This window comes from Homo sapiens, chromosome 15, assembly GCF_000001405.40.
Source record: "Homo sapiens chromosome 15, GRCh38.p14 Primary Assembly".
Lineage (NCBI taxonomy): Eukaryota > Metazoa > Chordata > Mammalia > Primates > Hominidae > Homo > Homo sapiens.
Window position 1 is genome coordinate 28192262 of NC_000015.10, and position 17348 is coordinate 28209609.

Consider the following 17348-nt stretch of genomic DNA (forward strand, 5'->3'; position numbering starts at 1 on the left):
AAACTGAAAGGAGTTAATAAATGCCACAAATGGTTTCCCTAGTCAAGATATAGTTACACCAATTTATGAGATGAAGTCCACATAATGCTATGATTTATTCTACTAAAACCTCCCAGGGAACAACAGCAGATTAATATATTTCCAAAGAAAACAAAATAAGCTGTGGGAAAAGTTCAATAACAGCACTCACAAAAACCATTCTTATTAAAAATGCTTTTATAAATACAAGGCAAAAAGTAAATTGTAAAGTGCTTCCACTTCCATTAATGGCAAATCTGGAATTCAACTGGCATTCCCCATCAAAGACAACTAGTAAAGCCAGACAAAACACTCAAAAATAAATAAATTCTCTTCGAACTATCAGAATTCAGGAGAAAATAAAGAATTACAAGGTCAGAACCGCAGGAAGACCCGAGGCGAATGGAGGTGTCAAGATGACGCACACCACGGATCAGAGGCTGCTGTTCCCTGATGGCATCACCAGGTTCCAAGCAAAGTCCCTGAGACGACACATAGCATTTTGACAGCCTCGTGAAGGGAAGGGAAAGGAATGGGGTCCAGAAAGACCAGGAAGGCTGAGGATGCTACAGAAATACAACCCACACTTGGAACCCCAACAGGAAATACCCCAAAAGTCAGAGTGAACTATGAAGGGTTTTTGGGTTTCCCTTTTTTTTTTTCCAACAGATTGCAACTCAGCATAAAATCATCTCAATCAATGAATGCTGATTAAGGTAAGCCCAGATAGTCACTAACCTTTACCAAGTAGCTCACAGAACAACCTTCTCTCCTCCATTCCTTGGAGAACAATAACATCTTAGCCTCAAAATGAGTCAAGAAATAACTTTTTAAATACAATGTCCAGTACATAATGACACATGAAAAGGCAAGAAAATATGACTAAAAATTACCAGAAATGATAGGACAGAAACAGACCCACAAAGGCTCCATATATTGGAGTTAGAAGACACAGACTTTAATATAATAACTATGCTTACTGTGTTCAAAAAGATAATATTTCAGCAGAGAACCAAAAACTACTGAAAATAAAACAGAAAGACTAGAACTGATAAATTGAATAATTAAAATTAAGAACTTAATGAGTAAGTTTAGAACACACTGAACTCAGCTGAAGAGAAAGTAAAAATATCTGGAATGAAGAACTGAGGAACAAAAGTTTAGAAAACATAACAAGAAGGTAAAAGATCTGCAGGACAGAGGTTAGGCCTAACACAAATGAAAGAAGAGTCCCCCCAAAAAGATAGAAAAGAGAATAGAGCAGAGGCAACATGTGAAGAAATACTGAAAGACAGAATTTTCCAAAACAGACAACAGATATCATGCCCCAGAAGCCCTACCAACCCCAAGAAAGATAAACATCTCCATGCACATGTAAAACCTGTGCAAGATGAAAACAAAAAGACTCTCTGAAAAGCAGACGAAGGAAAAATAAAATGAACCACAATTAGACTTCCATCCAACTTCAGGAGAAATAATATAAACCAAATTGCAATGGAATACTATTTTTAAAGTGGTGAAAGAAAACACCTAGCAAAAAGACTTTTCAAAAATAAAGGAGAAATAAAGACATTTTCAGACATACAAAAATAGACAATTTGTAACCCACAAAGACACATTTTTAAAAATATCAAGGGGTATCTTCAGGCAGGAGAAAAACAGTATAGATGGAAAATTAAAGAGGAAGAAAAAAGTGGAGAGAAATTACAAAGTATGCAGAAAAATCTAAATGAATATTGACTACATAAAATCATCACATGCCCCACATGTATTGTTTGATCCTTTGACCTTTTTTTTTTTTTTTGAGACAGAATCTCCCTCTGCCACCCAGGCTGGAGTGCAGTGGCACGATCTCGGCTCACTGCAAGCTCCACATCCTGGGTTCACGCCATTCTCCCGCTTCAGCCTCCCGAGTAGCTGGGACTACAGGCGCCCGCCACCACGCCCGGCTAATTTTTTGTATTTTTAGTACAGACGGGGTTTCACCGTGTTAGCCAGGATGGTCTCGATCTCCTGACCTCGTGATCCACCCGCCTCGCCTCCAAAAGTGCTGGGATTACAGGTGTGGATCACAAGGTCAGGAGATCGAGACCATCCTGGCTAACACGGTGAAACCCCATCTCTACTAAAAATACAAAAAATTAGCCGGGCGTGGTGGCGGGCGCCTGTAGTCGCAGCTACTCGGGAGGCTGAAGCGGGAGAATGGCATGAACCCGGGAAGCGGAGCTTGCAGTGAGCCAAGATCACGCGCCACTGCACTCCAGCCTGGGCGACAGAGCGAGACTCCGTCTCAAAAAAAACAAAACAAAACAAAACAAAAAAACAGGCATGAGCCACTGTGCCTGGCCGATCCTTTGACATTTTTTGGAACTTTTGTTTGAGCATATGACCCACTTAGCATATGACTGGATTTTATGAACATTTTCTGTGTGCATAAAAGAATGTCTTCTATAGTTCTGTTAGATATGTATTTATATAAAATGTATAAAATTTTGGCTGGATGCAGTGGCTCATGCATGTAACCCCAGCACTTTGGGAGACTGAGGTGGGTGGATCACCTGAGGTCAGGAGTTCAAGAGCAGCCTGGCCAACATGGTGAAATCTCACCTCTACTAAAAATACAAAAATTAGCCAGGCATGGTGGTGGGAGCCTGTAATCCCAGCTACTCGGGAGGCTGATGCAGGAGAATTGCTTGAGCCCGGGAGGTGTCAGTTACAGTGAGCCAGGATCGCGCCACTGCACTCCAGCCTGGGCAACAGAGTGAGACTCCGTCTCAAAAAAAAAAAAAATTAAAATATGTTAAGAACATATAAATCAGAATGAAGATAAATGATCTTAAAGAGAACTAAGGTTTTTGCATTGTTTAGGTGGAGAATATACTAATAATAGATTTAAATGAGTCAAAAATAGATGTTATAATTAATATCTTCAGTAACTACTAAAACTAAAAATGTATATAACATATGCACTCCTTATACACAGAGTGAGACTCTGTCTCAAAAAAATAATAATTAAAAAACAAATAGAAAAGTTAGCTGAGCGTGGTGGCTCAGGCCTGTAATCCCAGCTACTCAGGAGGCTGAGACAGGAGAATTGCTTGAACCTAGGAGGCGGAGGTTGCACTGAGCCAAGATCGTGCCACTGCAGTCCAGCCTGGGCGACAGACTGAGACTCTGTCTCACAAAGAAAAAAAGTGATATATGCATACAGTGGAATATTATTTAGCCATTAAAAAGGATGACGTTCTGACACATGCTACAATACGGATGAAGCTTAAATACATTACGCTAAACACAAAAGGATAAATCTTATATGGTTTCACCTAGATGAGATGTCTGGAGTGGTCATATTCATAGAGACCAAAGTTAGATTCAAGGTTACCAGGGTTGGGGTAAGGGGAAGTAGGGCAGTTAAATTGCTTAATGGGTACAGAGTTTCTGATCGGAGTGGTGAAAAGTTTTGGTAAGAGACAGTTGTGATGGTTGTGCAACACTGTACTTAAGGTACTTAATACCCTGAATTATAAACTTAGAAAATGATTAAGTGGCTAATTTTAAGTTATATATATTTTGCCACAATGACAAATACAATAAAAGGTATATAAATTAAAAAACTCACTCTCCATCTAACCAATTCCACATGCCATGCAACTAAACACTTACTAGTTTCTTGAGATTCTTTTAATGTTTCTTTATGGAAAAACAAGCAAACAAGCCTAGTTATTCTAATTCTTCCCCGACACCCCATCCTGATTTTTTTAAAAAGCCAGCCAGTCATCAGCGGGTAGGACCGTCACTTCCGTCTCACTGTACTCACTCTACAGAATTACTGTATACATAGGAACCTTAAAATAACAAATTCCAATACACTGTGGTCCACAATAAGTATTTCATTAATATTTGGTGGAAGAGAGAATATAAACATTCTGCCATACCTGGTTCATTTATTCTGCCAAATGTATGCCTGGTATTGTGTTTTTTGGTCTTGAAACACGTTTCACAAAAATCAAAGTCATCACAGTTTCTGCATTTGAATCTGGATCCATTGATAGGAAACATCTGACATCCATCACACCTATTTGTAAAATAGCAACTGAGTTAAGAAAGGTCATTTATTAAACTTAATTCAACAGAAAACCATTCGTCCCAAAGCAAATCTAGCAACCATAAAAATAACTCACGTAACCCCAGGATGAATACTGGGTACCAACTCCATTTCTGATAGCAACCCAGTCCAGTGAGACTGCTGGGGAAAGTCGACAATGATATCTTTTCCATTGGCACTGAAAGCTAGGACAGAACAGAAATCACCTGATCCATCTTCCTCTTCACCAATAAAAACCTGAACTTAAAACTGCACCTAGCCATGTCATACTACATTGTAGTTATTTGTTTTTTACAAAGAGTCTACCTTTTAGAGATAGGTACTAAAATGCTTATGGATGAACTAATACATGATGTCAGCGCCTGGTTTCAAAATAATCACAAGAAGGGAGCATGAATAATTTTGGCCTGAGGCGACAATCGTTAAAGCCAGGTAATGAGCACATGGAGGTTCATTGTAAACTACATTCCTTACTTTTGCATTAGGTTTAAAATAGGACATTTTGGTTTTTAATTACACCAAGTCAACAATTCCATACAATACCTTCGGTATCTCAGGGAATAAAAACCACATTAATAACATGAAGACTTCTTTCGTCCTTTGATAAGAGCAACGTGTCACTCAAAACAAAGAAACCAAATTCTTATTTTTAAAATTTGTCTTGTTTTGATTTGCAAATATTTTAACAATCTCTTAAGCAAAGAAAAATGTTTAAAGTAAAATATTAAATAATCCATTTGTTTTTATGTAACATGAGAAGCTCTAGGAACCTCTCACCACTGGGGAACCACCAACTGTGGCCATTTTCTAAGCGATCTGATGAAAAGAGAGCCTTCCACAAGGTTCAAACAAACAAATAATCTCTTTATGGCATCAAGAGTTTATAAAACTATACACATACTTATTTCTCATGCAACTGTTAAAACGGACATAGTATACCTTTCAAAGTGTGCCACGGATTTGATTTGGAATCTCAATAGTATCATATTAAATATAATCTGAGAATTGTTCCCAGTTCCTAATTCCCATCATTAGCACATTTCCATTTCTTAAATTCAGTCCTAAATTTTTATACAGCATGAAAAAGAGCCAGGCATGGTGGCTCACGCCTGTAATCCCAACACTTTGGGAGGCTGAGGCAGGCGGATCAATAGGTAAGGAGTTCGAGACCAGCCTGGCCAACATGGTGAAACCCCATCTCTACTAAAAATACAAAAATTATCCAGGCATGGTGGTGGGCACCTGTAATCCCAGCTACTCTGGAGGCTGAGACTGGAGAATTCCTTAAACCTGGGGGCGGAGGTTGCAGTGAGTCAAGATGGCGCCACTGCACTCCAGCCTGGTCAGGGGAGGAGAAAGAAAAAGCAGTCCTGACAGTCAGGAGCTGGCCTGTTAATGTCAATGTTAGAACATTTCACAGAATAACTGACAGGACAAGTTTACAGAACACGAACATCAGGTAAGGCCACTCTGTGACTGATGAATCAAGGCACAACCAAAACCCCTACTTAACCATGTGTGATTAAAGTTGAGTCTAATCCAAACCACAAACAACCACACAGTCCCCTATCCTGGTGATATGAATGACTACTTCCTTACCAATCATGACGTTAGCATGGCTCCATTCTTTCTGCCTGCTAGGTAAATTTATTAAGACATCCTGTTTTAGGATTACCCCTGCTTTCTCGACCCCTCCCCCAAATACCCAACATAAACTTCATTAGTCCTCGCTCACTCCCTCTGATGGAGACACCCATTCCCCAAGGTGTGTGTTCTCCTGTACTGCAATGAGTTAATATTAATAAATCTAATTGTTTCACTGCAGGTGAGTTCCTCTGTGGCCTTTGGCAGAAGGCACTGACAAGCAAAGGAACACTCTATCTTTCTTCAACACTTGTTTTCTGTTTTGTGTGCTTGAACAAAAAGAAATACTAAGTACACATGCGTTAATGAAAAGTTAACATCAGGAATTTTATTACCCAGATAATATTACCTTTCACAACCCCCACACTCTGATGAGTCACAGATCCCCATTTGTATTTTGGTGTGGTGACAGAGGCTTTGACCCGCACTTTATCACCAATCTTGATGTGAGAAGAAGAACTTGGTGGAGGATAGCCTACAGATGTCAATAACAAATCATTATAATCAATATTCATTTAAGGGAATTTTGTCTCTAAGAAAAAACAAAAGCACTGAACAAAGAATGTGCTCACCTATAAGTTCCACATGAATGTACCTAACCCAGTAGGTGCCCCCTTTCTGCTGCCAGTCACACTGCACATTGAGATCATGCAATCCATCTCTGTCCAGCTTGATGACTTTGCCAACATCACCTTCGCACACTTCTTCATACGCTCGGCAGCATCTAACCATCATTCCCACCTAGAATTAAAATGAAATTGGAGATCCAGTCCATCATGTACACAGGTGAAATGAGCCATGATAAGTAGTATTACTCTACTCTTAATAAAGAATTCTGACTGGGCATGGTGGCTCACGTCTGTAATCCTAGCACTTTGGGAGGCTGAGGTGGGAGGATCACTTGAGCTCAGGTGTTTGAGACAAACCTGGGCAACATGGCGAAACCCACCTCTACCAAAAATACAAAAATTAGCCAGACGTGGCGGTGCATGCCTGTGGTCCCAGCTACTCGGGAGACTGAGTTGAGAGGATTGCTTGAGCCTGGAAGGTGGAGGTTACAATGAGCCAAGATCACACAACTGCACTCCAGCCTGAGTGACAAAGTGAGACCCCATCTCAAAAAAAAAAAAGAATTTCATCTAGCACCCAGAGTGCATTCTAAGTATTATTTAATGATAAAGGGAAGAGAAACTCTTTAGAACACTGTCTGGCTTTGTGTCTCAGGCAGGAAATATACAGGAAGAGCCTGGATCAACTTGTGTCATAAAGGAAGGGAGCTTTCAAAGATTACTGGGTTCACTCAAAAGGATTCCCTGATCATCAAAAACATAACAGTGGAAACATCACACCCTAAAAGCCAATGGATTGGTCATCATGATAATAAGGAAAACAAAGCTTCCTGGTCATCTTTATACATATCAGAACACCAATGCATCATTCTGAAAACTGATAAAGTCTCCCTGTATTATCAAGAGCAACCAAGATTAATAACAAAGCTTTTTTTCCCAGAAGAGAATTCCAGCTAATGAACTCAGAGAAGATGAAGTTAGAAAATCACTATGGTGCAGCCCCTAATGATAGGTCTAGATGATGACGCTAATGCCTACTGGAGCTATGAGATGGATAATTAATACAGAATGTCATCAAGGAAGGAGCAGGCTGACAAGACCTAACCCACCCAACCCTGCTTGCCTGTTGAGATGGGGCCGGAGGGAGTACATGCCTATGAAGCTTCCTGCCTGAGATTCAGCCTGGTCCAATCACCCTCCAACCCTAACTCCTATTGTATTGGAGAAACAGGGAGAGAGGAAGATGTTAGCCACAAGGAAGCCACCTCCAAATGCAGACTGTAAGACATTTGGAGGACATGGTTTCAGCTACAAATAAACAGCATGAAAGGAGAGGACGGGGGAAGGAGTATTATCATGAATGTTTGTGTCCCCCCCACCAAAATTCATGAAGTCCCAACTCCTAATGTGGCAGTATTAGGAGATGGGGCCTCTAAGGAAGTCATTAAGGTAAAATCAGGTCATAAGAGTGGGCCTCTGACACAACAGGACTAGGGTCTTTATAAGAAGAGACTCCAGGATGGGCATGGTGGCTCACGCCTATAATCCCAGCACTTTGGGAGGCCAAGGCAGGCGGATCACCTGAGGTCAGGAGCTCGAGACCAGCCTGACAAAAATGAAGAAACACTGTCTCTACTAAAAATATAAAATTAACCAGGCATGTGGTGCATGTCTGTAATCCCAGCTACTCGGGAGGCTGAGGCAGGAGAATGGCATGAACCCGGGAGGCGGAGCTTGTAGTGAGCTGAGATCACGCCACTGCACTCCAGCCTGGGTGACAGAGCGAGACTCTGCCTCAAAAAACAAACAAAAAAAAAAGGTAGCCACCTACAAGCCAGGAAGAGGGCCATCACCAGAAACCAGCCAAGCTGGTACCTTGATCTTGGATTTCCAGCCTCCAGAACCATGAGAAATAAATGTCTGTTGTTGAAGCTGCCAGTCTATGGTACTGTGTTATAGCCAACTGAGCTAAGACAAGGGGGAACCACTCTAGCTTGGAATAGACGTCAAAGATCCATCAACCAAATGTAGATAAGGCATACAATCTTGGTTGTATCCAAGTTCAAAAACTAACCATTAAAGCCATTTCTGAGAAAACTGGAAAACTACAAGCAAGCGTTAGATATGAGATGATATTAAGGAATTATTATTTATTTTGTTAGGTAATGCTGGTAAACAGAAATGTCATTATGTTAAGATTCTTTATTAGTGATACTCACTGACATATATACAGGTGAAATGAGATGATTTGGGGGATTTTCTCTAAAATATACTAAAACAAGAGAATTAGGACAAGAAATGATTTAAAGTAGATAAAGGACTATATAAAACATAATTAGATTTTTAAAGTTTGATGGCAATGAGAATTACATAAGAAAAACAAGGAAAGGTATGTAGGAAGTGTCACAAGTGGGGCTAGTAGAAAACAGCCATCCCTGCGCCATGTCCACCGTGGACAGGCCACTTGTGCTCTCCGGCTGCCCCTGAGCCCATCTGCCCCTCTGTCCTCTGGCTACACCGGGGCAGCCACAGCAGCCTCTGTCTGGGTGCCCATCCTGCTCAGCCACCCTTCACACCCTGTAGGCTTTGCACCCATGTCACCTTCTCATTGCAGCCCCACATCCCTGTAATGTGCCCTCACTCCTACCCCTTTACTGTAGTCTGTTCTTTCTCATTCCAGGGTACACAGCACCTTCTAGCGTACCATGAGCTCACTGGTCAGGTATGTCTTCCAGCACCAGAAGGCAGGCTCCCTGAGGGCAGGGGCCTCTGTCCACTGATGTTTGGCATATAGGACATACTCAAATATTTGCTGAATGAAAAACGGATCGAGGCTCCAGCTTAAGACAATTACTCACCTGAATATTCTCTCTCACATATACAGCATAATCATCATTACTCAAGAAATCAGCTCGTTTTTTGTACGTCTGGCTCTCCGTCACAACAGCACCAGTAGACTGCAAGAAATAAATACATTCAAACAAAAAAACAGGAGAACATGATAAACCTACTCAAAAAGAAATAAGTCTGTGAAATCTATAATATTAAAAAGTAGAGGATGAAATCCTTTATTTTCTCTATAAAAATCTTCATTTAAAAAAGACTAATAGCAGTAGCATAGTAGGCAGAATGAATCTCAAAAGCTACAAGTATACAAAATTTCCAAGGCACTTCCAAATTAATCCTACGAATAATTTACTCAGGTCAGAAACTGATGTGTCAAAACATGGTATTTTAATAAAATATCTTCTAATGGCTACCGAAGATCATGAGATGTTTGAACAAGGGTCTGTTCTGAAGCTAAAAGTAATTATGATATAGAAACCCAATCATCCCTTCAGTAGTGAAACACAGCTTTGTTCTGTGCCCGGCAATACCATAGGTTGGTTTTATGGAACAGTCCACAGTAGATATAGTTAATTCTTTCAAGGGACAGAGAAAGCCAAGGTGTAAGACTGTTAGAGCGCTAGACGGACAGCGGCCCAGGTGCGGGCGGTCACATGGGAGGCACTGACCATGGAGTAGGCGGCATCATCCACGTCCTCCACCACCTCCTCGTCAGAATACTCGTCGGACACCGTGTCTGCATCTGAGAGCTCCGTGACCTGTATGTCGGAGTGGTCCAGCAGCCACCCGACCAAGGCTTCCACACCTAAGAGAGGCACACACAGCACAGCAGCCACTGTGAGTCAACAGCCCTGAAGCGGGAACCCACACATACACAAGCAGAGGCCAGGAAAACGAAGTACCAGGCAAGCTGGATGCATTCCCGGAAGCACCAGTGAGAGACTTCAGGGCAAACTCGATGTTCCTTCTGGAAAATCCCATCTCCATGAGCTGCACCACGATCGGCAGAGCGGGAACGGGCGACTGCTTGCGCCTCTTCACTCTGGCAGGGCGGATGTGCTGCACGGCGACAGGCGTGGTGGCCTCACTGGAGCTGCAGTCTTCAAATCCTGGGCTCGAAGGGTGAGTGGACTCCACAGCCAAGCACTGGCAAACGGCCAGTGCAGCAGCCTGGGCAGACAAGAGGGTCCTGGGAGATTTGGGAAGTGCCCTCAGCTAGCTTACACAGTCTAGGAACACAGGGGTGATGGCCTTCTACTGTGAACTGCAGTATGCAAGTCTAGAAAGCCCGCATTCACATGTGTGTTTTTCAATGAGTTCCTAAAACATGTTAGAAAATGACAAAGCCAAGTTTCACGGTTTAATGCAGAGAAAATACGTGGGGGTAAAATAACTTGCCTGTTTCAGCAGACAGAGAGCCTACTAAATTAGCCAAGTATCAATGTCCATTAAGGAAAACTTCATTACAGCCCCAAGCAAACAGTCACAGGGGCTTGAAGGAGCAGGGAGAAAGGCATTCCCCCTGCCTTAACCAGGCACTGTGGTGGCGGCCACAGGCACCTGTGTTTTAGACAGGCCAGAAATGACACAGGACTCTCATGTACCATTAAAACAACCCTCAACTATTCAAGGGTTAAATAACCACAGTGAGGTTAAACAAGGTATTAAAAAGTAAGAGAAATAAAAGAGTATTAGTTGGGAAACACACTGCAATGAATCAGTGAACATCTAAACTGCCAGTCTCTGCAGCTGGGAACTCCCCACCTACAGCACAAATAGCACTTCCCTGATCTGTCTGTAACTCCCTGGTCCTCCTCCCCAGCTGCTCTCATAGCACTGACTTGCTATTTTGTTAAACGGAGCATGTGAGGAAGGAATCAGGAAGAAACCGAGGACACTGTGGAGCCCCCCGGTGCTCAGGAAGTATCAAAGCCTAGGGTTTTGCAGCGAAGTCTGGGTAACTTGGAAGTGACAGGTTTCATTCTAAAAGTTTAAAATTCAGAGCCAGATTGAGCCAAGAGTTCTGGTTCTGATAATTGAGAGTTAGGATGCACTGGACTAACCTTTGGCTGATAATAATCATGAACTCTGGATAAAATATTTTTTAAAACTGCTTGAGGGCACTGGAGAACAGCTGACGCAATCAGCAATAAAACGAGTACAACCCCTGACCCCGAGAAGCCTGCATGCAAGACGCGCATTTAACCACAGACGGCGCACCTTCCTGCACTGCAGGGGCTGGGGTCCCGGCCTGGCAGAGTAACCAGAATGCGAGGGAAAGCCCGCCTGAGAAAGAAACCACAGAGGGAAAACCACGAAATATGCGGACGGACTACCCGCAAATCTACAGCTGAATCTAAACTGAAGCACCACTGAAGAGCCTGCGCTCGGCACAAAGGGACCGCTGGAAGGCTGCAGGGGCTCCCCAGCTGCCCAGGGCCAGGACAGCATCTGAGGCTCAAGCTCAACCAACTAGAGGTGGGGAGGAGAATGTCAAGGCTTCCAGTGACGCCCAGAAGAGATTCTAAATCCTTGAGAATTAAGGATCCACAACCAGGGCTAAGGGCAAATACAAAATCATTAGAAAGCCTGGCACCAAGCCACCTCAGGATCAAGGAGGACTGCCAGGTACTGAACTGCCTGTGAGAAGAAAACTCCCCTTTCTCCAGAGGCGGCAGAACCCAGAGCCAATACAATGTAACGTCCAAAGAATCCAGAATGAAATAAGAATTCTCACATATGTGAAGGACAACAACCAATAACTGACTATAATCAAGGAATAAAAACTGCAAAGAGCAGCAGACCAACAGGTGGGCAGATGTTAGAATTAGCAAACAAGAAATTCAACATAACTATCAGAAATATGTTTTAAAATGTACAGCAAAAGATAGATTTGGCCAGGCACGGTGGCTCACACCTGTAATCCCAGCACTTTGGGAGCCCGAGGAGGGCGGATCATGAGGTCAGGAGTTCGAGACCAGCCTGGCCAACATGGTAAAACCCCATCTCTACTAAATATACAAAAATTAGCCAGGCGTGGTGGCAGGCACCTGTAGTCCTAGCTACTCGGGAGGCTGAGGCAGGAGAATCACTTGAACCCAAGAGTCAGAGGTTGCAGTGAGCTGAGATCACGCCACTGCACTCCAGCCTGGAGACAGAGCGAGACTCCGTCAAAAAAAAAAAAAAAAAAGATAGACTTAAAGGATGAAGAAAGGAACTGTCAGAAGAGATATAAAACTATTAAATGAGAGCCAAATGGAAATAAGAGATGTGAGAAATATAAAATAAAGTATGTCTTGGATGGATATAACAACAGATTAGGCCCAACAAAGCAAAGCATCTTGACCTTTCAAACAGATCAAGACAAACTAACCAAGCTACTAACAAGGAGAAGACTTTCTATTAAAATCGTAAAAGGAAACTCACTAACAGTGTAACAGATGTATAATAGTATTTCCAGAAAAGAACAAAAAGAGCAAGGCAGGGGGAAAAAACAATAGTCAAAAGTTTCCAAATTTGGTAGGGGAACAAAAATCAAGCCAAAGATGCAAGCAGCTTCAGCAAATTTCAAGGAGGACGGTGGGGTGGGCGGGGTGTGCCACCATTGTATACATGAGCCCAGCTTAGGGAAACTGCAGAAAACCAAAGATAATAGAAAATACGAAAAGCAACCACAGAAAAAAGACATTTCATGAAAAAGAAGAGAACAACAACTCTCCATCAGAATCCATGGAGACAAAACAGCGGAAGGTCTCTTTTTGTACAACAGTCCTTCTCAGTTCCTGAAGGACAACTCTACACGGCCTTCCAGTTGTTCACACTCGGCATCTCCCAGCATGACTGCTCTCAAGTTGCTCAGCGTCTTCTTTTGATCTCTGCCAGGGAGACTGGAAACACAACCAGGCCCTTTAAAATGAACCTTCACCTTGGAGGTTCCCAGACCTGAGAAGAAGCTGGAGTTCAGAAGAGCTCATGGCCAACCTCCTCCCTTCCTGCCCACACCCGTTTCTTGCTTTCTCCCTTTGCACCCCCACCATCTTTCCAGCTCGTTCTAGGACTGGGGGAGGCCTCCCACCTGTCCAAGGCAGTGGCTGCCTCATCTGGACCCTTGCTCCCAGAAGGGCCCTGCTATCTGAGGGTTTCTGTTAGGGTAATTTCTGATTGCCAAACTGAGTACTGATAGTTTTATTTTTGTCTCTGATATTTTGTCCAGATTTTTAATGTATTACACAGCAAGAAAGATTTTGGAATGAACATCTCTAATCCTCTATGTTGCCAGCCATGAAAGCTCCCATCCCTCTTACACTCAATCACGTCGCCTCCTCTATGCGAACGTCCCGTAGCCCTGACCCTGTGCCTCGCTGCTGCCCTCACCTGCTCCACAGCATGGAGAGAGCGGAGAGGCTGGCGGCACCAGAGCACCCCCAAGAGGCTCCTGAGTGAATGAAACAAACGGCTGCCAGAGTCCTGACGAGCCTCTTTGAATAATTCTACTTCCTGGAAAAAGATCCCTTCATGAAGATGTGAGCATTTAACCCATGCTGCATCTAGTTAATATTTTTTCACAATTTACACAAACCCAAAATAAGGTTAAACTTCAACCCTCTCAGTCTTTAGTATTATAATGTTCTGCAGACTATGCACAAACATGGTTAAACCCCAATGAATCATTAGAATTATTTGCGTACTATCATTTAACATTCAGAATAGATCCTTAAGAAAATATACATCTAGAAAAAAAGTGTTCAAAATTTAGTGCTGTGGATTAAAAACTGTCAAGGCTGCATGGCTGTACCTCAAGTTCCTGTTTATCAAATATGGCCTTCACAGGAGACGGCTGGGTGGCCGAGGCCAGCAGCTGCTGCAAGAGGATCATGGGGGGCTGCGGCCCTTCAGGAGACATGTCCCCAAGGTCAGGTGATACCACTGCTCCATCATCTGAATTTAAAAACAAAATATGTGTAAGATTCTATTTTCAACTGCGAACACCACTTTACTATTAAAGAAAATGCATTAAGCATGTTAAATCAGGTATGACTTCTGCCTCATTATGTGATAGAAAACCAAAATCTTCAAGGTTCAGACATCGAACAAAAACTAGACTCTAGGTTGGGTGCGGTGGCTCACGCGTGTAATCCCTGCACTTCGGGAGGCCAAGGCGGGTGGATCACAAGGTCAGGATATCAAGACCATCCTGGGTAACACGGTGAAACCCCATCTCTACTAAAAATACAAAACATTAGCTGGGCATGGTGGCGGGCGCCTGTAGTCCCAGCTACTTGGGAGGCTGACACAGGAGAATGGCATGAACCTGGGAGGCGGAGCTTGCAGTGAGCTGAGATTGTGCCACTGCACTCCAGCCTGGGCGACAGACCAAGACTCGGTCTCAAAAAAAAAAAAAAAAAAAAAAAAAAAAATTAACTGGGCGTGGTGGTGCGTGCCTGTAATCCCAGCTACTCGCAAGGCTGAGGCAGGAGAATTGCTTGAACCAGGGAGTTGGAGGTTGCAGCGAGCCAATATCACACCACCATACTCCAGCCTGGTGACAGAGCGAGACTCCATCTCAAAACAAAAAAAAAAAAACTAGACTCTAAACCACTTTCACTGCCTGCTTTTGGTCTCTGTCCTTCATTAGTGCATCTGTCTCTTAGAGCCAGCAAATGCTCCTTCCCAGATTTCTGCACTTGGTCTGATTCTTTCTCTTTTCTTGAGATGGAGTCTCACTCTGTTGCCCAGGCTGGAGTGCAGTGGCACAATCTTGGCAAACTGCAACCTCTGCCTCCTGGCTCAAGCGATTCTCCTGCATCAGCCTTCCCTGTAGCTGGGACTACAGGCACACGCCACCACGCCCGGCTAATTTTTGTATTTTTAGTATAGATGGGGGTTTCACCATGTTGGCCAGGCTGGTCTCGAACTCCTGACCTCAGGTGATCCACCCGCCTCGGCATCCCAAAGTGTTGGGATTACAGGCATAAGCCACCATGCCTGACCTACACACTCTCTTTCGTGTTCACTCACGGCTTCAGTAACCCCTGACACAGACACATCCCACGTGCATATTTCTAGCTGTAGCTTTTCCAGCTAAGCTTTGTTGAGATCATTAAGTGACCCCAATTCCAAATGTGTCATGTGCTCAGGGTGATGGCTTTTTGTCTGTTATGAGTAGCTTTAGGTGCAGCCTTTAGGACTCTGTTTGACACAGCCCCAGGGAGATCCACTGCCCTCAAGCCCACTTCACACATCTAGGTACTCATCCAGGTACTCACAGCATTTGCATGTGCTGGTTTTCTTCAGTGACAATTTCAACTAACTAGACCAGGAGCTGGAAATCTTTCTCTTAAAGGGCCAGAGAGTAAATAGTTTAGGCTGATGGGCTGTACAGTCTCTGTCCCAACTACTCAGCTCTGCCATTGCAGAGCAAAAGCATCCAGAGACGATGTGTAAACAAGTGGTGTGTCTGTGTTCCCATAAAAATTTACAAAAACAGGTGCACGGCAGTTTTGTCAATCTAGCTCTGTTAGGAGTCCCTGCTCGGCCCAAAGCACAGACTTGATCATCCTGATTCAGGTCTGCTGTCACTGCTCATTGGGCTGAGTGCAGAACAGAACAGCCAATCCAATTCCCAGGCTCCAATCTTCCAATCTCTACAACTGGGAAATCTTCATGTTCCCTATAACCTCTACTATTAATTGATTCTATACTTTCAATTGATTTCTTTCATCCTCAGCAGGTTTAAAATTAATTTCATAACATCCTCTCCTCTTAAGATTAAGAAACAAACCCACATACTCCACATTCTACTGGACTTGCATATTTTTTTCAAACGCACCACTCACTATTCTCCCCTCAATTCAAGCTTGAAACAGCAGAGTCACCTTCCACTTTTTGCTGGTTCCCCATAAAGTTATCATCTACAAGACTACACCATCACAGTGGATGGCACCTTCCTTCCACCAGAACCTTCTTTCCCTTTTCATGCCTTCCCCCTCATCACCTGACGCAGGAGCAATTCTCCATCTCTGTCATCTCCTGTTTCAGATACTCCTATACCTTCCTAGCAGGTGTATCACCCGAAGGTCAATGCTTACCATGTGGCCCCTACCACAGCTTTCCAAGTGGGCCTCAAGTTTCACCCTGGTCTCCCAGGTACTCTGTAACAGGATGTCACCCACCCATCCAGCTTCAGCCCCACCACTCATCGACAAACCCTGAGCTCCAAGCAATGCAGAGCTGCTCAACACGCTTCCAAAGACTCGCCACTTTCACTCCTCTCCTCCTGGTCCACCACCAGCAAAGTGCTTGTCTGCTGGCATCTGTCTGCCACAGCCTTCAAAGGCTGCCCGTCCAGTGCTCAGCTGCCACTGGCTCCAGATGCCTGTGGAACCACTCACATGCCTCACCGCCTCCTGACCCCAGAGGACAAAGAGAGCCATCTGCATTCACTTCCTCTCCTCATCCAAACCCTAGAGAGCAATGATCACAGAAAAGGACTTTCCCCGAAAAGACTTAGCATAATGTCTTTCAATAGCAGGAGATCAAAAAATGTTTTTTTCTATTAAAAGTGACACAAGCTCATTCTAGAAAACTAAATATAGAGAAATATAAAGAAATAAAGACAGCCAAATTCCACCAAAGATTACTGGGTCACTATTTCACTAAACAGATAACTATGGCATATCTATAAACGGATATACATAGCAATGTGCTTTTCTGTTTACTTATCATTTTCATATTTCCACGGCAATAAACATATACAGCTAGCCCTCCATATCCATGGGTTCTGCATCCAAAGATTCAACAAACCACACATCAAAAATATTCAGAATAAAACAATTTTTTAAAATATAATTTTAAAAAGAATAGCAATAACAACTATTTACATATCATTTATTTTATTTTTATTTATTTATTTTTTTTGAGACAGAGTCTCGCTCTGTCACCCAGGCTGGAGTGCAGTGACACGATCTCGCCTCACTGCAAGCTCTGCCTCCCGAGTTCACACCATTCTCCTGCCTCAGCCTCCCAAGTAGCTGGGACTACAGGCACCTGCCACCACGCCCAGCTAATTTTTTGTATTTTTAGTAGAGATGGAGTTTCACCGTGTTAGCCAGGATGGTCTCGATCTCCTGACCTCGTGATCTGCCCGCCTTAGCCTCCCAAAGTGC

General features: G+C 43.3%; 1 protein-coding gene across 12 annotated transcripts in view; it reads right to left on the reverse strand.

The window, feature by feature from the left end:
* HERC2 (HECT and RLD domain containing E3 ubiquitin protein ligase 2) overlaps positions 1 to 17348 on the reverse strand; it is a 211140-nt gene that overhangs the window by 81222 nt on the left and 112570 nt on the right. For 11 of the 12 annotated variants that reach the window (XM_006720727.4, XM_006720726.4, NM_004667.6 and 8 more), the window contains 8 exons: positions 13979 to 14121; positions 10086 to 10353; positions 9852 to 9988; positions 9195 to 9293; positions 6340 to 6508; positions 6117 to 6242; positions 4200 to 4308; positions 3954 to 4093 (listed from right to left, as the gene is read on the reverse strand). In XM_006720727.4, coding sequence (XP_006720790.1) covers positions 3954 to 4093; positions 4200 to 4308; positions 6117 to 6242; positions 6340 to 6508; positions 9195 to 9293; positions 9852 to 9988; positions 10086 to 10353; positions 13979 to 14121 — 1191 coding nt within the window. Of the gene's footprint in view, positions 1 to 3953; positions 4094 to 4199; positions 4309 to 6116; positions 6243 to 6339; positions 6509 to 9194; positions 9294 to 9851; positions 9989 to 10085; positions 10354 to 13978; positions 14122 to 17348 lie in introns of those variants that run through there. The other variant, XM_047433209.1, reaches the window with a different exon arrangement.